Source organism: Homo sapiens, chromosome 8 (assembly GCF_000001405.40).
Source record: "Homo sapiens chromosome 8, GRCh38.p14 Primary Assembly".
Taxonomy (NCBI): domain Eukaryota; kingdom Metazoa; phylum Chordata; class Mammalia; order Primates; family Hominidae; genus Homo; species Homo sapiens.
In genome coordinates this window covers 109,361,661-109,384,640 of record NC_000008.11, presented here as the reverse complement: position 1 = coordinate 109,384,640, position 22,980 = coordinate 109,361,661, and the positions used below count along the sequence as shown (strand labels likewise).

The 22,980-nt window shown below is 38.7% G+C and overlaps 1 protein-coding gene across 5 annotated transcripts in view; it reads right to left on the bottom strand.

The window, feature by feature from the left end:
• The window catches only part of PKHD1L1 (PKHD1 like 1), a 174,747-nt gene extending 152,567 nt beyond the window's left edge, over window positions 1-22,180 (bottom strand). For all 5 annotated transcript variants that reach the window (NM_177531.6, XM_011517371.3, XM_017013971.2 and 2 more), the window contains exons 1-5: window positions 21,988-22,180; window positions 20,005-20,094; window positions 3,127-3,271; window positions 2,070-2,178; window positions 514-571 (exon numbers count right to left, since the gene is read on the bottom strand). In NM_177531.6, the coding sequence (NP_803875.2) occupies window positions 514-571; window positions 2,070-2,178; window positions 3,127-3,271; window positions 20,005-20,094; window positions 21,988-22,060 (475 nt within the window). In that variant the 5' untranslated portion in view covers window positions 22,061-22,180. The remainder of the gene's footprint in view (window positions 1-513; window positions 572-2,069; window positions 2,179-3,126; window positions 3,272-20,004; window positions 20,095-21,987) is intronic.
• Between the last annotated feature and the right edge of the window lie 800 nt (window positions 22,181-22,980).

Sequence of the window (22,980 nt, the reverse complement as noted above, 5' to 3'; positions counted from 1 at the left end):
CAGTTGAATGTATAAGTGGTGGGGGTGGGAGGTGATAAATACATTATAGTAGATGAAGATATAGCCATTGAAAATCAATTTTTTAAAATATTGGTACTTTTTTCTTTTTTTTCAGATAGGATCTTGCTCTGTCATGTAAGTTCAATCATGTCTCACTGCAGCCTCACACTCCTGGGCTCAAGTGATCCTCTCGCCTCAGCCTCCGGAGTAGCTGGGACTAAAGGTGCTTGCCACCAAGCCTGGCTAATTTATTTATTTTTATTTTTTAGAGAGAGGGTCTCATGATGTTGCCCAGGCTGGTCTCAAACTCTTGGGCTCGAGGAATTCTTGCATTTTGGCCTCCCCAAATGCTGAGATTGCAGGCATGAGCCACCGCGCCTGGCTGATAGTTATTTTTATAATGAAAAAAATGCTATTTAAAAATTGCAGGAATTATACTAATTTCATATACTAAAAAATAAACACATTATTTACCATGAAACCAAAAGTTATTTCAGATGTCATATAACAGACCTGGAGTTCCAGATAAAGGTGTGATGCTTCTTATTGTTGGGGTTCTAAAACTTTTTGCCTGTAAAAAGAATAATGTCAATATGAAAACTTATCTCTGTTTTGTTTCTAGTTTTGTGAAATAGATAATTTCTTACATTACTAAATTTCAACAATATTCATAATGTAACTGTCATGTAGGAAAGAAGATATTTAAATAAGATGAACCTAAGAGTTAAATTAGAGGATAGGATCATCGTGGTTTTGCTTCTTAATAGCTGTGGGGCTGAAAGAGAAGGGAGAGAGAAACCAAGAATGGTAACAGGTTTCTAACTTGAGATGGTGAGAAATAATCAGAGAAAAAGTAGATTTAAGGAGGAATACAAAAACTGCAGTTTGATGCTCAATTTAGGTCGCTTTAAGACCATTTAGGTGTGACATACCAGAAAACCAAACAGAGTTCCACGTCTGGGGAAACAGAAGAAAGCCAGAGATATCTGGGAATCGTATTTGGCAATATATTTTGGAATCATAGAAGCTTCTTGAAGACAGATGTCATTATTGTTTTCTTCAGTATTTCATCTTATATTAGAACATTGTACTACTCAGTAATTGACAACTTAAAACTAATATATATAAACTATTTATATATAAATATTTATATAAAAATAGTTTTATATATATTTATATATTATATATACTTATAATATATTTATATATTATATATTATATATAATATATAATTATACGTAATATATAATATATAATATACATACTATATAATATATTATAATATATAATATAAAATATATATTATATATAATATTAATTATATATTATGTATAATTGTATAATTATACATAATATATAATTCTATTATATATTATATAATTATCTATTATATATGTTATATATAACTATATATAATATATAATTATATTATATAATATATAATTATATATAATTATATATATTATTGTATATATTATATATAAATATATATAATATATACAATAATATATATAACTATATATTATATATAACTATTTATATATTATATATAATAACTATTTATATATAAAATATAATTATTTATATATATAACTAATTTAATTATATATATATGGGATAATGCTTAGAAGAAAATGTATTACTGCTAATACTTCTATTTAGGGCAGCTAAATTTTGAGTGGCTCTTACACCACATGCAGGCACATTTTATCTCATTACGTTAGAAATTACGTAGAAAGGAAAGGTAGTTACTTCGATTAAAATAGGAAAAGGGAGAATCACACTAAGAGTAGAAGTAGAGATAAAGGGGAAAATATGAACAAGAAAACATGTTTGAAGTACAAAAGTTTAATTTAATAGTAAAATTAAAGGAGGGGAAACAAATCAGAAATAACAGACATTAAATTACTATGGAAGATAATTTAAATTGAGGGAAATTATCCTTTGTTACATGCTAATGTATTTTTAAATGTGGAAATAGTCTATAAAACTAAAAAGGAAAAATTCAGTTCTGCAGGAAAGAAAGCAAGATCAACTATACATAAACTGAAGAGAAGATTCCTACATACGTTGAAGGTACATTCCCAGCTGTTGATGTGACCTTTGCAGGTGTTATTTTCCGTAACAGGAACCCCGTCCACACTGACTCTAACAGTGTAGGAATCTTCCGGCATTGCTCTATAAAGAAAATGAAGAATATATGAGACATGCAATTCCTCTCTTATTTAGTGTATAGTATTAATGAAAAATACTGCCCCAGACTGCAGGCTATTTTTGACAGAAAGTGTCCAACGTCGTAACTGATGTCTAGTTAAGTTCCATTCTATATTATGGAAAAATGATCTCCATCCTGAACTCTTTATTGCAAACTCTAACCTCATGAACTTCAGGCAAATGCATATTCCGACTGTGCACATTGGTATTAAAAAGGACAACAAGTATAATAACAACAAATGCAATAATAAACATTTAAAATAGTAACATATCACCTCGGTACAATCAGTTATTCCATGCTTTGTTTCCTAAAAAGGACTAGTTAATCAAGTTTCCCCTTAGTAAGCTTTTCCTGGTGAAGAACAGCCGACAGGCCTAAGATAAATGAAATCCTCTAGAATATGTGCTATCTGTTTCTAAGTTCAATATTGAAAGTTGCAATTTAAAGTGATTTTTAAAATTTTTCCTAAGTTGCTAATAACATACATGAATTTGGGCTGATAGTAAAGAACTTGAAATGTCACTATGCAAAATGATTATATTTAATCTTAATGACTATATGAATATTTTGAACAAAATTCATCAAATTGAACAAAATAGCATAATTTTGGTATTTTAAGGCACATCATTACAATTAAATAGTCATTTATCTTCTAAAAATGCTCAACAATAAGGTAATAGCTCTAATAACATGGGAAAAGACATAGAATATGTTGTTATCATGCCAATTAAAATTGAATATAATAAATGCATAAAATAGTCTAAACATCACAAAATGAAAAATACTAACCTATAATCAGAAAAATATTATTTATAATAGCCAGGGTAATAAAACTATTATAATACTAATATTCATAACTGTAACTTCTGATATGATGAAAATGATTTTATTAAAGATACTTTAAAACAGACCTAGTATAGCATGTAATTTGAGTTGAATGACTTGCATCTTTTTCTACATCACAAGTAATTGACTGGAAAGAAGAAATTAATTGCACACTGTTTCCCAACTCAGCGTTATCAACTCCATAGTTAAACTGGTTTGCTTGAGAAAAACCTGGAAAAGTAAGAAGACTTAATTATTATTAATGGTATTCTATCTTCAGAGACCTAACATTTGTCACCTAGTATCAAATCATGCAGTAAATGATTTCATAAACATTACTGAAGCAGTGAACCTATTTCATATTTATCCTTATGATTGTAATCTTCTTTGGAAGCACAAAATTTAGCCTTTAATTCATTTACTCATAAAAGTATTGCTGGAGGGTAGATACAGTCATCTCTTAGTATTCATGGGGATTTGTTCCACCATCCCCTTGGATAACAAAATCCACAAATGTTCAAGTCCTGTAGTCAGCCCTGCAGGACAAGTATCCCGATTCCACATCTGGTGAATACTGTATTTCCCATTCGCAGTTGGTTAGATTCGTGGATGACAGGCTCGAAGTTACAGAGAGCCTACTGTGAGCCTACATAGCACCAGATTCTATATCTGGAGGTGATAAGTACCATGAAAAAGGTAGGCTAAGAGGACTAAAAAGAATAGAGGAGGAGAACACTATCTTATAAAGGATGAGGTCTTTGTTTCAAGTTTCTACAAAGCAAAATCTGAGGTAAGGATTTGCCAGCACATAATTTATTTGGGCAATGAGCTATTTTAGGTATGAGAGAGAGCAAAATGTGAGGAAAGAAAAGCTGGGTACCACTGAGGACAACTGGGGCTCAATATTGCTGGGAATTTCTAAGGAAAATATAGCATGTCTTTCCAAATCAAAAAATCAATGGCAAGAAGCATTTATTCATCAAATCTGGTCCCCATTGGTTGAGGGTTCTCCCTGGGGGAAGTAACTTTTTCTGCACTTTCACACTGCACATAGGTATATGCTATATAAGTTCCAAAGTTCGGAGTTACTGCACTAGACAAGTCCTTGAATAACTGACAAAGACATGGTGTTAGAACTCAGTCAAGAAGCTGGAAGCATAAGTTGAGTCAAAGTACACAAGGAACTATTTGCCACAGCTCTAACTAGAGTTAGAGGTAAGAAAGAGAGGATGTAAAGCTGAATATAAAAGGCATCTGATACAGTCTACCCACTATACAACACATAGCTACTCATGGCCTACATATTAAGCACAATCCATCACCAAGTTTTTGAGGTGGTAGCCAGCTGAGAGCTCTACTAAGATTTAATACAAGAGTGTTAGAGGTAGCCAGCTGAGATCTCTGCTAAGATTTAATACAAGAGGGTTAGAGGGACAAGCTACAGGCTATACTACTCTATAATTAGTCCTAAAACTATAATTAATTTTCACCATGCCCCCTTGCTATCAGCCATTGTAGATTTCCCTTACCTGCAGCCAGCACTGTAGCTAATAGGGTGACACTAATGTTCATCCTGGAGAAATCTGAGCCCCTAACTGCCTTGCTCTTGTTAGGTGGTGGTTGCTGCAATTGCCTGTTCTCAGTAATCACTGGACATGAAGCCAAGAGATATCCCTATGAATACCCTGAATTCCAGACCAGCTCCTCCTTAACTACATTAAGTTAAAGCAACCCTATTTCTTTATGATAATTAGAACTGATTATCTCTAGTCATATACTAAATATGTTTGATGAATTCAAACTGAGTAGACCATGGTGGTAGTTTCAGTTCAGTGGAATCTATATTGCGACCCATGATGGGAGCATTTTCTACCTGGAAACTAAGACCACAAATCCAGCAGAATGTAAGGTTGCAAAGGCAGAAAGCACAAATTCAATTTCTGGATAACAGGGAGTGATGGTGAAGGGAAGCAGCCCTTTATATCCAGCTCCATGCATCTGTCTATTACAAAACAACAGCATATGTCTGCCACTGGTTCAATGCATGTTATGGAGGATACCAGGGTCCCACCCCACAGGATGTTTTTCCCCAAGTTCACATCTTGGCCATAGCTTTAACAGGCAGTTCCATCATTCTACTAAGCTACATGTTTCTGAGTGACAGATTTCATGGTCATGTGCCCATTATCGGAACTTTTTCACTATAAAATACATTTCTTGTTCTGAAGCAATATTTTATGGAATTCTATGGCAGTATATCAGGCTCTCTAAGCTCTCAGAAGATGGTGCTGACAGAGAACTGTAGAAAGAGGAAGCAAAGCCCATAATTGGAGGGTCAGTTCCGGTAGCAGTCGATCTCTGTTCTTTCCATGGGAGAAGGAAAGTGCTGTAATCAACTTGTCACTGAGAAGCTGGGTGGACTTTTTGAGGAGTGGTAGCCTATTGAGAGCTCAGTGTTGGTCTCTGCTCTTGGCAGTTCCGGTATTCAGCAATAGCAGTAGGTTGTTTAGTCTGGGTGAAAGGGAGTCCATGTTGTTGGCTCATGCATGGCCTCCACCCCATGGCCATTCTTCATGGGCCCAATGCGCTAGCACTGCGGTGGCCACAGAGAGAAGCTCCTGGACGAATCATCCAATCCATCTGTTTATTCCATCTCCTCTGTGGGGGATGTTCTCTTGCGGAAGTTAAGTTGAGACACATAGATCTGCATGCTTTATGCTCACTATTATGAGTCCCTTCATATGCCTCTCTCTAAGACATTCTAATTTCTGGATTCCAATCATGTTCCCTTCAGTTCCTAACCAACTAGTGAAGTCCTCTTCGACTGCCCAGAAGCCCATGTACATTCTTACTACAAACCACTTTTCCTGCCTACAAAGTTAGCAACTGTGTATACTGATCATGGCTCTGCCTACCAGAGAGGCTGATAGTGAGAAGTGACTTAAGAGCCTTAGGGCCACTTTGCAGCATTTATGACTGAAGTCAGAGGTGATACCATGAAGATGTGAAGTGGGACACAGGATGTATGTATTATAGACAGTCATGGAAGTTTTTCAGAGGTAGCAAGCCATGAGGATATCTATGGGAAGTGCATTTTTAGTAGAAGAAATAGGATGTGCCAAGGCCCTGTGGTGGGACCATGTTTGTGGATTCAAATAATAGCAAGTGTGGTTGAAGAAGTATGGGTGAAGAGAAATGGTAGGAGAGGAGACCAGAAATGAAGGCACTTAGGTTATTTTTAAGTGTGGGGAGTAATTGCAGGCTTTCAAACGAGGAGTGACATCATGTGACTCACACTGTCTAAGATTCACTAGCTGCTGTTCTGAGAATAGAATAGGGGCAGGAGTGAAGACATTATCTCAGTGAAAAATGGGATAAATAATGGGATAAATGGCATCAGTTCAAGAGAAGATCAGAGGACAGTAAAGTGAAAAGAACAAATATTGCTAACATTTTTTGGAGTTTAATTACAAACAGGAGCAGAGAAATGTGTTGGTAGCTAGAAAGGTGTGTGGAGCAAGGGGAAGGCTGATGATTTTTCTTTTACTTTTTTTCAGATGGGCAGAATAACAGTATATTTGCATGCTGACGGGATATCTAACAGAAAGAGACAAAAGGGTAATGCAAAACAGAGACAAAAATTACTTTAATCTTTCTATAAACATATGAAAATTCAAAACTACATTTGGAAGTAATTAAATATAGATTAAGCCTTGTATGCCATATAAGAATATTTTATATTTTTGAAACAATATTCACTTTTGGAATAAACCCAAGAAATAAAACCTATGAATAAGATTAGTGTTCCATTAATTAAATCCTATAATTAAATGTTCTCCTAATAAAAATGTTAAAAAGGTACTTATACTGTTCTAGTTCACAAAGTAAATTACACACATCTATGGAATTTTATATATTTTACTGCTTTGGAATAAAGTTGAACGAGGAAATAAACAGCTTTTGCCCAGATTACTTCAATATCTAAAATTCCTAAATTCTGAATTCTAACAGTATGTGAATTTTTAAATATTATTTTTCTCTATCACAGGTTCTTAACAGTAAAACTCTACTTTAGGCAAATTAACCGGTAGTATTATATTTGAAACTATGAAAATTTTTCTTTTGCACTAGCAAATTTGTATCCATGTCATTGTAAATTTATAAGCTATTTAAATTTCAGAATTTAATTACCTACAGACCATATTATCCCATAATACAATAATAAACATAACATCAGTAAACAAAAAAAGGTAAACCCAGAGATGTAGATTTAACTCTTTAAATGTTGTATATAATACTATTTACAATGTGACAAATAGTGCTATAATATATTCCATTTATAATACTAACATTATAAAAAGATAAGTATTTGTTACTTACCTTACAATGTTAGCAGTTTTCAAAATGTTTCAACAAAGCAATCATTACTACAATATGTGCTCACCTTAAATAATACTTGAAGTGGCAGAATTGGGGTTGCCAGAAGATATCTGTGGTACAACTGCTTTTTAAATTATTACGCATTTTCGGTGTTCCACAAAGGTCTGCTAGACAACATGAATACTTGTGGTTTCTTGTAGGCCTGGAAGCAGGACTTCATTGTGCCTGATGTTCATCAGATATCAAAGCCTCTCACCTCCAGTTCTGGTAAAGCTACGTGGCAGGTGCCAGTGATGTTTAATTGAAAAGGCCCAGGCTTTGGACCTTGACATTCTGGCCTGGAATCCCAGCTCTAACACTCCCTTGCCATTATGACCTTGGGCAAGATATAACCCCTCTTACCCTAGTCTCCTCATCAGAAAAATGGCCATAATCTATCTTAATGGATAGTTAGGAATAATAAAGGATCATTGTTGTATAATGTTTAACGTGGTACCTGACTTAATCAGATATCTGCTAAGATCTCAGTAGACACCTGCTCTTATTATTTGTCACAAAAATCCTGAGATTTGGGGGGTGGAGTCAAGACGGCCTAATAGGAACGGCTCCAGTCTACAGCTCCCAGCATGAGCGATGCAGAAGACGTGTGATTTCTGCATTTCCAACTGAGGTACCGGGTTCATCTCACTGGGGAGTGCCGGACAGTGGGTGCAGGACAGTGGGTGCAGCGCACTGTGAGTGAGCCGAAGCAGGGCGAGGCATCACCTCACCCGGGAAGCACAAGAGGTCAGGGAATTCCCTTTCCTAGTCAAAGAAAGGGGTGACAGACGGCACCTGGAAAATCAGGTCACTCCCACCCTAATACTGTGCTTTGCCAACGGGCTTAACAAATGGCACACCAGGAGATTATATCCTGCACATGGCTCGGAGGGTCCTACACCACTGAGCCTTGCTCATTGCTAGCACAGCAGTCTGAGATCAAACTGCAAGGCGGCAGCGAGGCTGGGGGAGGGGCACCCACCAATGCCCAAGCTTGCTTAGGTAAACAAAGTGGCCAGGAAGCTCGAACTGGGTGGAGCCCACCACAGCTCAAGGAGGCCTGCCTGCCTCTGTAGGCTCCACCTTTGGGGGCAGGGCACAGACAAACAAAAGGCAGCAGTAACCTCTGCAGACTTAAATGTCCCTGTCTGACAGCTTTGAAGAGAGTAGTGGTTCTCCCAGCATGCAGCTTGAGATCAGAGAATGGGCAGACTGCCTCCTCAAGTGGGTCCATGACCCCTGAGTAGCCTAACTGGGAGGCATCCCCCAGTAGGGGCGGACTGACACCTCACATGGCTGGGTACTCCTCTGAGACAAAACTTCCAGAGGAACGATCAGGCAGCAGCATCTGCGGTTCACAAATATCCACTGTTCTGCAGCCACCGCTGCTGATACCTAAGCAAACAGGGTCTGGAGTGGACCTCCAGCAAATGCCAACAGACCTGTAGCTGAGGGTCCTGACTGTTAGAAGGAAAACTAACAAACAGAAAGGACATCCACACCAAAAACCCATCTGTACGTCACCATCATCAAAGACCAAAGGTAGATAAAACCACAAAGATGGGGAAAAAACAGAGCAGAAAAACTGGAAACTCTAAAAATCAGAGCACCTCTCCTCCTCCAAAGGAACACAGCTCCTCACCAGCAACGGAACAAAGCTGGACAGAGAATGACTTTGACGAGTTGAGAGAAGAAGGCTTCAGAAGATCAAACCACTCCGAGCTAAAGGAGGAAGTTCGAACCAATGGCAAAGAAGTTAAAAACCTTGAAAAAAAATTAGACGAATGGCTAACTAGAATAACCAATGCAGAGAAGTCCTTAAAGGACCTGATGGAGCTGAAAACCATGGCACAAGAACTACGTGACAAATGCACAAGCCTCAGTAGCTGATGCGATCAACTGGAAGATAGGGTATCAGCGATGGAAGATGAAATGAATGAAATGAAGCGTGAAGAGAAGTTTAGAGAAAAAAGAATAAAAAGAAATGAACAAAGCCTCCAAGAAATATGGGACTATGTGAAAAGACCAAATCTACGTCTAATTGGTGTACCTGAAAGTGACTGGGAGAATGGAACCAAGTTGGAAAACGCTCTGCAGGATATTATCCAGGAGAACTTCCCCAATCTAGCAAGGCAGGCCAACATTCAGATTCAGAAAATACAGAGAAGGCCACAAAGATACTCCTCAAGAAGAGCAACTCCAAGACACATAATTGTCAGATTCACCAAAGTTGAAATGAAGGAAAAAATGTTAAGGGCAGCTAGAGAGAAAGATCGGGTTACCCACAAAGGGAAGCCCATCAGACTAACAGCTGATCTCTCGGCAGAAACTCTACAAGCCAGAAGAGAGTGGGGGCCAATATTCAACATTCTTAAAGAAAAGAATTTTCAACCCAGAATTTCATATCCAGCCAAACTAAGCTTCATAAGTGAAGGAGAAATAAAATACTTTACAGACAAGCAAATGCTGAGAGATTTTGTCACCACCAGGCCTGCCCTAAAAGAGCTCCTGAAGGAAGCACTAAACATGGAAAGGAACAACCAATACCAGCCACTGTAAAAACATGCCAAATTGTAAAGACCATCAAGGCTAGGAAGAAACTGCATCAACTAACCAGCAAAATCACCAGCTAACGTCATAATGACAGGATCAAATTCACACATAACAATATAAACCTTAAATGTAAATTGGCTAAATGCTCCAATTAAAAGACACAGACTGGCAAATTGGATAAAGAGTCAAGACCCATCAGTGTGCTGTATTCAGGAAACCCATCTCATGTGCAGAGACACACATAGGCTCAAAATAAAGGGATGGAGGACGATCTACCAAGCAAATGGAAAACAAAAAAGGCAGAGATTGCAATCCTAGTCTCAGATAAAACAGACTTTAAACCAACAAAGATCAAAAGAGACAAAGAAGGCCATTACATAATGGTAAAGGGATCAATTCAACAAGAAGAGCTAACTATCCTAAATATATATGCGCCCAGTACAGGAGCACCCAGATTCATAAATCAAGTCCTGAGAGACCTAAAGAGAGACTTAGACTCCCACACAATAATAATGGGAGTCTAACACCCCACTGTCAACATTAGACAGATCAACGAGACAGAAAGTTAACAAGGATATCCAGGAATTGAACTCAGCTCTGCACCAAGCGGACCTAATAGACATCTACAGAACTCTCCACCACGAATCAACAGAATATACATTTTTTTCAGCACCACACCACACCTATTCCAAAATTGACCACATTGTTGGAAGTAAAGCACTCCTCAGCAAATGTAAAAGAATAGAAATTATAAAAAACTGTCTCAGACCACACTGCAATCAAACTAGGACTCAGGATTAAGAAACTCACTCAAAACCACTCAACTACATGGAAACTGAACAACCTGCTCCTGAATGACTACTGGGGACATAATAAAATGAAGGCAGAAATAAAGATGTTCTTTGAAACCAACGAGGACAAAGACACAACATACCAGAATCTCTGGGACACATTCAAAGCAGTGTGTAGAGGGAAATTTGTAACACTAAATGCCTGCAAGAGAAAGCAGGAAAGATCTAAAATTGACACCCTAACATTACAATTAAAAGAACTAGAGAAGAAAGAGCAAACACATTCAAAAGCTAGCAGAAGGCAAGAAATAACTAAGATCAGAGCAGAACTGAAGGAAATAGAGACACAAAAAACCCTTCAAAAAATCACTGAATCCAGGAGCTGGTTTTTTGAAAAGATCAACAAAATTGATAGACCGCTAGCAGGACTAATAAAGAAGAAAAGAGAGAAGAATCAAATAGACACAATAAAAAATTACAAAGGAGATATCACCACAGATCCCACAGAAATACAAACTACCATCAGAGAATACTATAAACACCTCTATGCAAATAAACTAGAAAATCTAGAAGAAATGGATAAATTCCTCGACACATACACCCTCCCAAGACTAAACCAGGAAGAAGTTGAATCTCTGAATAGACCAATAACAGGCTCTGAAATTGAGGCAATAATTAATAGCTTACCAACCAAAAAAAGTCCAGGACCAGATGGATTCACAGCCGAATTCTACCAGAGGACAAGGAGGAGCTGGTACCATTCCTTCTGAAATTATTCCAATCAATAGAAAAAGAGGGAATCATCCCTAACTTATTTTATGAGGCCAGCATCATCCTGATACCAAAGCTGGGCAGAGATGCAACAAAAAAAGAAAATTTTAGACCAATATCCTTGATGAACATTGATGCAAAAATCCTCAATAAAATACTGGCAAACCAAATCCAGCAGCACATCAAAAAGCTTATCCACCATGATCAAGTGGGCTTCATCCCTGGGATGCAAGGCTGGTTCAATATATGCAAATCAATAAACATAATCCAGCATATAAACAGAACCAAAGACAAAAACCACATGATTATCTCAATAGATGCAGAAAAGGCCTTTGACAAAATTCAACAACCCTTCATGTTAAAAACTCTCAATAAATTAGGTATTGATGGGACATATCTCAAAATAATAAGAGCTATCTGTGACAAACCCACAGCCAATATCACACTGAATGGACAAAAACTGGAAGCATTCCCTTTGAAAACTGGCACAAGACAGGGATGCCCTCTCTCACCACTCCTATTCAATATAGTGTTGGAAGTTCTGGCCAGGGCAACCAGGCAGGAGAAGGAAATAAAGGGCATTCAATTAGGAAAAGAGGAAGTCAAATTGTCCCTGTTTGCAGATGACGAGATTGTATATCTAGATAACCCAGTCGTCTCAGCCCAAAATCTCCTTAAGCTGATAAGCAACTTCAGCAAAGTCTCAGGATACAAAATCAATGTGCAAAAATCACAAGCATTGTTATACACCAATAACAGACAAACAGAGAGCCAAATCTTGAGTGAACTCCCATTCACAATTGCTTCAAAGAGAATAAAATACCCAGGAATCCAAATTTCAAGGGATGTGAAGGGCCTCTTCAAGGAGAACTACAAACCACTGCTCAATGAAATAAAAGAGGATACAAACAAATGGAAGAACATTCCATGTTCATGGGTAGGAAGAATCAATATTGTGAAAACGGCCATACTGCCCAAGGTAATTTATAGATTCAATGCCATCCCCATCAAGCTACCAATGACTTTCTTCACAGAATTCGAAAAAACTACTTTGAAGTTCATATGGAACCAAAAAAGAGCCTGCATCGCCAAGTCAATCCTAAGCCAAAAGAACAAAGCTGGAGGCATCACACTACCTGACTTCAAACTATACTACAAGGCTACAGTAACCAAAACAGCATGGTACTTGTACCAAAACAGAGATATAGACCAATGGAACAGAAGAGAGACCTCAGAAATAATGCCGCATATCTACAACTATCTGATCTTTGAAAAACCTGACAAAAACAAGCAATGGGGAAAGGATTCCCTATTTAATAAATGGTGCTGGGAAAACTGGCTAGCCATATGTAGAAAGCTGAAACTGGATCCCTTCCTTACACCTTATCAAAAATTAATTCAAGATGGATTAAAGACTTACATGTTAGACCTAAAACCATAAAAACCCTAGAAGAAAACCTAGGCAATACCATTCAGGACATAGGCATGGGCAAGGACTTCATGTCTAAAACACCAAAAGCAATGGCAACAAAAGCCAAAATTGACAAATGGGATCTAATTAAACTAAAGAGCTTCTGCACAGCAAAAGAAACTACCATCAGAGTGAACAGGCAACCTACAGAATGGGAGAAAATTTTCGCAACCTACTCATCTGACAAAGGGCTAATATCCAGAATCTACAATGAACTCAAACAAATTTACAAGAAAAATACAAACAACCCCATCAAAAAGTGGGCAAAGGATATGAACAGACACTTCTCAAAAGAAGACATTCATGCAGTCAAAAAACACATGAAAAAATGCTCACCATCTCTGGCCATTAGAGAAATGCAAATCAAAACCACAATGAGATACCGTCTCACACCAGTTAGAATGGCGATCATTAAAAAGTCAGGAAACAACAGGTGCTGGAGAGGATGTGGAGAAATAGGAACACTTTTACACTGTTGGTGGGAGTGTAAACTAGTTCAACCATTGCGGAAGTCAGTGTGGCGATTCCTCAGGGATCTAGAACTAGAAATTTGATCCAGCCATCCCATTACTGGGTATATACCCAAAGGATTATAAATCATGCTCCTATAAAGACACATGCACACGTATGTTTATTGCGGCACTATTCACAATAGCAAAGACTTGGAACCAACCCAAATGTCCAACAATGATAGACTGGATTAAGAAAATGTGGCACATATACACCATGGAATACTATGCAGCCATAAAAATTGATGAGTTCATGTCCTTTGTGGGGACATGGATGAAGCTGGAAACCATCATTCTCAGCAAGCTATCGCGAGGACAAAAAACCAAACACCACATGTTCTCACTCATAGGTGGGAATTAAACAATGAGAACACATGGACACAGGAAGGGGAACATCACACACTGGGGCCTGTTGTGGGTTGGGGGTAGGGGGTAGGGATAGCATTAGTAGATATACCTAATGCTAAATGACGAGTTAATGGGTGCAGCACACCAACATGGCACATGTATACATATGTAACAAACCTGCACGTTGTGCACATGTACCCTAAAACTTAAAGTATAATAATAATAAAATTAAAAAAATAAAAAATAAAATAAATAAAATAAAATATAAGAAAAAATCCTGAGATTTAGGTTCATCATTAATATCCCTTTTTAAAAATAACACAGAGGCCAGGTGCGGTGGCTCACGCCTGCAATCCCAGCACTTTAGGAAGCCAAGGCAGGCAGATCACCTGAGGTCAGGAATTCGAGACCAGCCTGGCCAACATGGTGAAACTGTCTCTACTAAAAATATAAAAAATAGCCAGATGCAGTGGTGCCCTGTAATTCCAGCTACTCGGGAGGTTGAAGCAGGAGAATCACTTGAACCTGGGAGACAGAGGTTGCAGTGAGCCAAGATCACGCCATTGCACTCCAGCCTGGGCGACAGAGCGAGACTCCATCTCAAAAAAATAAAAATAAATAAAAATAATACAGAATCAGTAAGTGGGTAGCCGGGATTCGAACCCAGGCTGTAGCCTTCCTCCAGCCCTTATGTTCTTAGCTGCTAGGCTATTCTTTCTTTAGTATGTAGGAAAAGTAAGCAGAAACTCAATAAAGGGTAGAGATTTTAATAAATATCATTTTATTCCTCTAAGCTTAACCAAATAACTCATCCGGCATAAACTAAAGTACAATATAAATACCAATTTCACATGTGAGAGACATTTGCATTGACTTTGCAATTTTGAATCTAGAAAGGCAGTTATTACTAAAATGGGACTGTGAAAAGACATGAAAACACTGCAAAGCAAGTTACGTGTAAACCCACTCTTCCCTTTTGTCAACTTTGCTTATCTTTGGTGTTCACATTGAGTTTGGAACACACAGAAGAGCTCCTGGCAACCAACTAAAGAATGGAAAGTTTTACTTGTGGTGTGGTTCCAGATGTGAGATATGTATATATATATATATATATTTTCCTATCAGGTACATGTCATGTCAATGATACGTAACATGGATCTGTTCTTCAGCATTCTCAAGACAACAACCATTCTGAAAAATAATGCCAACAAAAGATGATATCATTTTCAGCTTAGGAGTTACTATAATGTCAAATATATATAGCATATGTGAAAAAGTCCTAGAAGTAAAATCTATGGGAAAATAATGAACCAAATCCACAATAATTCATAAATGTTATTATTAATATTGCTGAAAAAACAAGTATATAAATATTTCTGACTTTTAAACTAATTCCAAAGAGTTAAAAAGAAATACAAAGGAGTCTTCTTTTTAAAAATTTTAACTTAAAAGTATAATTCTAGGCCAGGTGCGGTGGCTCACGCCTGTAATCCCAGTACTTTGGGAGGCCAAGACTGGTGTTATCACCTGAAGTCAGGAGTTTGAGACCAACCTGGCCAAGATGGTGAAACCCTGTCTCTACTATACAAAAAATTAGCCGGGGGTAGTGGCAGGTGCCTGTAAACCCTGCTACTTGGGAGGCTGAGGCAGGAGAATTCTTGAACCCAGGAGGCGGAGGTTGCAGTGAGTCGAGATCGTGCCATTGCCCTCCAGCCTGGGCAACAAGAGTGAAACTCCATCTCAAAAAAAAAAAAATATGTAATTCTAAACAAATGATTGAAGATAAAAACACCACCTCTGGAAGTACTCCAAGTCACAAAGATTACAGGAAAGGCTGAGTGTACCCTGGAAATGGAAAAGGATGAGGCTTCGGATGGAAATTCCTGACATGTTGATGTATTTTTTTTAATTTTGCAGAAAAACTGGAGACAGGAATTGCCAGGCACGCAAACCTGGGTCTCCTGATAGCAGCAATCCAAAAGGAACGCCTGGGCTGCTATCATGGAAAATGTCAGTGTTATTAAAGCCAGCACTTGTCATGAAGAATGCAGGCTGTTTTGTTTTCTCTAGTTAAAAAAGCACTGTTGAAAGTGTATTCACCTACTTAAAAGTTGTAGCATTCAAAACAATGGGAAAGAAAGATACAGCGTGATGGATGGAAGACAACTCCTAAAGATTTAAACCAGACCTATAACATAAATGCAAAGAATAATACAAACAAAAATAGCTCTAATGGATAGAATTTATACTATTTATAATGGGTACCTTAGGTGTATCATCCTTTTCAGTATTCACAACAGTCCCAAGAGGTAGGAATTAATAGTCCATTTTACTGATGAGTAAGCTAAGGCTCAGCGAAATAACTTGCCCCAGTCACATGATATGAAATGGCAAAGGTGAATTGAAAGCCAGTCAGACTGAACCAAAGTCCATATGCTTTCTGTGACATTATTAAAAGTATATAATTCAACACTTCAACAAAAATGTGTGTGCCAGAAATTGTAAGGGAAATAGCTAGAAAAAGGAGCCAAAAGTAAAATGTTATTTCTCCCATCTTACTGATTTTTTAAAATAAAAACCAACATGATAAATATCAAAGAAAACAATTGAGAAATACAAGGTATGACTATAAAGTAACAAAGCCAATATAATTACAAACACTCCAGAACTTATCAAAATTATAATGCTCTTAATCAAATTAGTCATCTCAGAGGGAGGTATAATAATTTCTACAATCATGCCATTGTTCAAAACACTTTGGCCTGGGTATCATAAGAGTAAAATCATGTATCTATATCTCCTGAAGCATAGTCTTGTGAGGTTTTATTTTGTTTTTAAAGCAGGGTTTCACTCCATCACCCAGGCTGGAATGCAGTGGTACAATCATAGCTCATTGCAGCCTTAAACTCCTGGCCTCAAGGAATCCTCTCACCTTAGCCTCCCAAGTAGCTAGGACTACAGGCAGGCAGGCCATCATGCTGGACTAATGTTTTAAATGTTTCATTTGTAGAGACAGGGTCTTGCTATATTGCCCAGGCTGGTTGCCCAGGCTAGTCTCAAACTCCTGGCCTCAAGTGATCCTTCTGCCTTAGCTTCCCAAAGCACTGGGATTACAGGCACGGACCAACGTGCCCAGCCCAACCACAGCCTTTTAAACAAAGTAATGCTGTGGCAAATGTTTACAAGTCAATACTATACTATGTTTGGAAATAGCCAAAAGTCATTTGGATACATGAAAATGTTAACAGTAGATCTTTCTACTGGGTAGAATTTCAGAGAACTCACTTTCTAAGTCAAGTATTTCTATAATATTTTACTGTTTTATAATGACTTTTACAAAAATAAAACATTTCAAAAAGTAATATGAAGCCAATAGGTAGTCATCTAGAATTTACAATTCCATTTAGAAGTAGTTCTTGTGTAATTGATAAATAAGTACTGCATGCAATTCTAAAAACAGAGAATCTATCAGAGACACCCTGGTGATGTACATGAATATAGTCCCTCCAAATTAAGTTCATTCATGTAGCTATAGAAGCTCTGGTGTGTTTTGCAAATTCATTATCATTTTGTAGATATCATTCTGTATATATTATGGGCACCCAAAAGCCTACATTAAAATAGCATTTATTAATTTATTTTAAACCACTTTATTGAGCTATGATTGACATATAAAAGCTATATGTATTTAATATATACAACTTTATGAGCTTGGATATAAGTATATACCCATAAAACCATAACCACGGCAGGGTGCAGTGGCTCATGCCTGTAATCCCAGCACTTTGGGAGGCTGAGGTGGGCAGATCACGAAGTCAGGAGTTCAAGACCAGCCTGGCCAACATAGTGAAACCCCATCTCTACTAAAAATACAAAAAATTAGCCAGATGTGGTGGCAGGCACCTGTAATTCCAGCTACTCAGGAGGCTGAGGCAGGACAATTGCTTGAACTTGGGAGGTGGATGTTGTGGTGAACTAAGATCATGCCACTGCACTCCAGCCTGGACGACAAGAGTGAAACTCCGTCTCAAAAAAAAAAAAAAAAAATCATAACCACAGGAATGGTCATAAACAGACCCCTTGCTTCCAAAAGTTTCCTCCTGCTCTATTTATTAAAAAATTTTTTTGATAAGAATATGTAACAAGATTTTCCCTCTTCGCAAACATTTAGGTATACAATGCAGTCTTGTTAACTATATGCTCTATGCTGTACAGTAGATCTCTAGGATTTATTCATTTTGCATAACTGAAATTTTGCACCCTTTGACCAATATCCCTCCTCCACTTCCTCTTTTCCCAGTTCTCAATGACCGCTATTCTATTCTCTGCCTCTATAAGGCAGTATTTAGACTCAGCCTCTGAGAAAGACATATGAGAACACGTTTTTAGTCATCTATAAAATGTAGTTAAGGCAAGGGACTGTAAGAGAAATCGGGAATTGTTAAGTATCTGCAATGCCAAACACATTCAGAAACTGGGACGGATGAGAAAAGTAGAAATTTACCAAATGACACTCTGGGCTTTATAATTAAGAGTCCTCAGGCTAATTGCCTCAGAACGTCCACACAAAAGAAAAGACTACATTTTAGCTAGATTTAAAAGGATACCTTTCCAAAGAATAGAATGTTTTGGTTTTTTTATTTCAAACTAGGGATGATCTGGGTCTATGTGCTTAAACTGAAGCCATAGTTCCTAGATCAGAAAATGTTCAGGTCTGGAAACAGAAGAAAATGGCTGGGTGTTTTCTTTTTTTCTTCTTCTTCTTTGAGATGGAGACTCGCTCTGTCGCCAGGCTGGAGTACAGTGGCGCGATCTCGGCTCACTGCAACCTCTGCCTCCTGGGTTCAAGCGATTCTTCTGCCTCAGGCTCCTGGGTAGCTGAGACTACAGGCGCGCGCCACCATGCCCAGCTAATTTTTGCATTTTTAGTAGAGACGGGGTTTCACCATGTTGGCCACAATTGTCTCCATCTCCTGACCTCGTGATCCACCGGTCTTGGGCTCCCAAAGTGCTGGAATTACGGGCTTGAGCCACCGCGCCTAGCCCTTCTTCTTTCTTAATCTGAGCATTTCTCTCGCGGCATTTAAATTTCTGTTTAAAACCCAGTAACTTTCAAGCATACCATCTTATCAGCAATTTACAATATAAGAAACATATGGTTAAAGATATATGAATAATATAAAATAATCTTTAACAATTATATTGTTCATGGGTCTTAACTCTAAAAAATAACACTTTAATCCAAAATATATTGTTTATAATGTAGAAGTATAAACCATTTTAAGCATATCATTGAGAGATTGAATTCTGCAGAAATATTAGAAACATTAAAAGACATTACATTATATAACAAAATAATTAAATATCTTTGTTAGCTATGAAAACTTTTCATTTCTTAAAGACCAAATAATAGATTTTGCTAATATTTTTAAATGTTTCTTATTGTTCAAAAATTCCTAAGTATCTGAATACTGGTATCACTTATATTGCAAAGGTCTTATGGCTGAAAGAAACACATATTTCTATTTAAACCTAGGAAAAGCTGTGCATTAAATATATTTACTGATTGCCTTCTACATTTCATCCTAAGACCAGGCAAGGAGAAGGGGAACCATGTACGGTACTCATGCCTTTATGAAGCCTGAGGTTGGGTGGCAGGAGAAGGAATCTAAAGTTTTGTTTTCTATTGCCTTTCCTCTTTCATTAACATATTATTTCTCTATTATACTTTCTTATCAACATTCTACCCAACACCCACAAAATGTTTTATTTGATCTTAAAATAAATTAAATGTTATTAGACTCATGAAGAATAAAGCAAATAATTGCTGAGTTGGGTTAATTGCATTCCTTTTAGTTCAGTCATTAATCCAGATCTTGATGTTAAGCAAGTCAGTATAATAAGAATTCAGATGATCAGGTTGATAAAGACTCTTGGGGATTTCACTAGCTATCAAAGAGGACAGAGTTTTACTATTCTGGCCAAGTGAAGAAATAACTCCAGTGGTGCTTGTTTGTTTGTTTGTCCATAAAGCTCTAAATATGAAATAGGCTTGAAAATACCTCAACCTTGGCAAAAAAAAAAAAAAAAAAGCAACGATACCTTCCCCTCTTATAGTCAGCCTTGTTGCTCCATTTATACTGCCATATTTAGGTATTATTTCTGTGACTTTGGGGATTATTTGAGAGCCATCTGAAAAATATTAAAATACAGTAGAGGTAAAAATCACCAAGTTCTTCATTTCAGTCATCAAAATTTGTAACACATACCACAAGGTTGCAAGGAAAACATTATGAAGTTTACAGGATTGAAAGTAAAATTCACCCAGGTTTTATTTTTGGCTCTGCCAATGACTTGACAGAGTCATTAACTTAGTTAATACCCACTGGCTTTGTGCAAAGCACTATCTTAGGTGCTACCAAGAGCAAAAATAACACGTGATCATTTTCATCACTTACCTATCATATTATAAAACACGTATTAAATCCTTAATTTCATGTAGTGCTCTGCTAACTGCAGATCTATAACTATGCTTAACAGCTCACCTAACAGCAGACACCAAGAAGAAATAGGTCATTATAAGAGCACAGAAGAAATGCAATGCTAGGTAGTTTGAAAGACTAGACCAGGTACAAAGAGAAATGTTGGTTTTGAGAAGAAATTATTTTCTGTGAGGGAGTGTGGCTTCAGGAAAGATAATTTCTGAGATTCTTCTAGCCTCCTGATGATAGTGAGTTCTTAATATAAAGGTCACTAATTCATTCAACAAACTGTGTTAGCTTCCTGGAGATACATAAATGTGTAACAGTCCTAACTTTCCAAAGGCTTAGGTTAGACAGTACCAAGAGACAGAGGAGAGCATAGAGGCCACGGGTGCCTCAAGGAGCATTTCACCCACGCTGCTTGTGTCACACTGGCTTCTATAAAGAAGACATGCCCCTTCCACATTTTTAAGGACAAATATGAATTAGACTGGACCAGTTGTCAGAAAGATAAAGATAGTTCTAGATAGAGGGAACTGCCCGGGCAAACAGGATTGTGTGAGCTGCTTCTTTGGAGTATTGCAAATAATTCTTTAAAACAACTCAAAGCTACACAGTGGATAGAGGTGTTTATTTTCTGCTTACACTGTACAGATCTAGTAATTGCTGGAATCCTAAAAGAAATTTTCACAGTAGGTAGAAAAATTTAAGGGATGATACAAAGAAAGGCCACAGAAATTATTAATTTCTCAAAATGGATGTATATAAAAAGGCTAAGGGAATTATGATTGGCTTGTTCAGTTCTGTCTTAAAAAGGTTTAGAGTGGACTTCACCTATAGTAGCAAAAGCTCTCCAACATAAAGGAGACCAGTTCCGAGGCCCCAGACCCAGTGCCTCTGTACCTCGGGTCTGTCTTTGCCAAGAGCTCCAAGGTGTTCTTATTCCCGCACATTCATATCTCAGGGCAGCCCAAGAGTAGGAAACTCCAGCGGGGAAGCTGGATCCTATCTCCAGACAGTGCTGCTCCTCGCCTATCTCAGGTTCATCCTCCTGTTATCTCCACAGACAACTCCAATTTCTTATCTTATCAGTCTCTTCCCAGCCCTCTTCTGGGTATTACTTTGAAAACACAGGGCAGCTGCCCCTGGAAATGACTGACACCTGCCACGAAGTCCCATCCCCGTCCTACTGGGGGTTGTTGCCCTTTCTGTTGTGAGGAAAGCGACCCAAGAAGAATGGAGGAAAAGGGACTCAGGTTGCCTCTTCCCAGTCCCCACTCCCCCGCCAAATTTCAGTCTACTTGTGTCACTTTGTGGGTGCCGGTGGGAGATTTCATCATTCAAGTAGCAGCATTGATGAGTTAAAAGGCAATCTCTCGCAATCTCTTTCTCTGTGTCCTTGTCTCTGTTTCTCTCTCTCTGCGTCTGTCTCTGTTTGCTAGGCCTGCTATCCAGCTCCCCTGGTCCCCAGGATCGTCATGCAACCGCACCCACAGCCTCAGCCAGGTGCCAGGTGGTCCTGCCTCTCCCAGGACCCCGGGAGCAGGGGTAGTGTCTACGCGGGCCTCTCCTGCTTGCCTGCCTAGCGTGCCCAAAGGGTTACCTGTGCTGGGATCCGCGGCACACAGGAGCAGCCCACAGAGGCCCCAAATACCCAGGAGCCACAGGTGTCCCATTGAAAAGCCAGTTCTGCGGAGTTGGTGCCCTCCGCTCGCAGCTGGCTCTAGTGCTGGAGCTCGGCTCCTGGGACTGCGACTCGCTGGCGGGCCCGCTTCGTCCCGGGAGAGCTGGGGAACTGGGCCGCCCTCCCGTGGCCTGCCCCGCCCCTGCTGTCGGGCTGCTCCTCTGGGATTTGCATGCGCGCGCGGACACACACACACACACACACCCTGGAACCTTCGCGGGAGAACCAAGCCGGCCCCGAGCCAGTCCGTGATAATCAAACCTCCACACTCAAACCTGGGTGCTGCCTTCCCAAGGCTGTCCCCATAGGTGGAAGGGCCTTACTCCTTTTGGCGAAAGGAATCAATGGTCATTGAGGTCTCCCTAGGTCTCCTTCTCTATTTTCTTTTTGTTTTTTTTCTTTTCTTTTCTTTTCTCTCTTTCCCCGCGTACTTTCATCTGCCTGTCTGCCTTGGTCATTAATCCTCCCCAGGTGGGCCTATAAGACCACCTAATACACAAACCCCACGCGTGTTTACCCCTTCACATTCATATGAGATTGTGCTCTCTCTTTAATTGACAATCAGTAGACTTAGGGCGAAGGCTTACTGTTGGCATGGAGGGAGGTCCAGCACTGCTGACCTGTTTCTGGGATGCCAGATAGCAGACGAATGAAACGCAAGTTTCTCTGACCTCCCTGGAGAAGGCAGTTTATTATTCACCACTGAATGCTCCCCAGGGGCTAATTCCAAATCCTCTCACTGTTCTTAATATCTTAACCTCAGGATCTCTTGATTGCCCACCTCTCCCTACTCTTTAAAAGGTGAGAAGGGGCTGGGCACAGCGGCTCACGCCTGTAATTCCACCACTTTGGGAGGCCGAGGTGGGCGGATCGCTTGAGGTCAAGAGTTCGAGACCAGACTGGCTGACATGG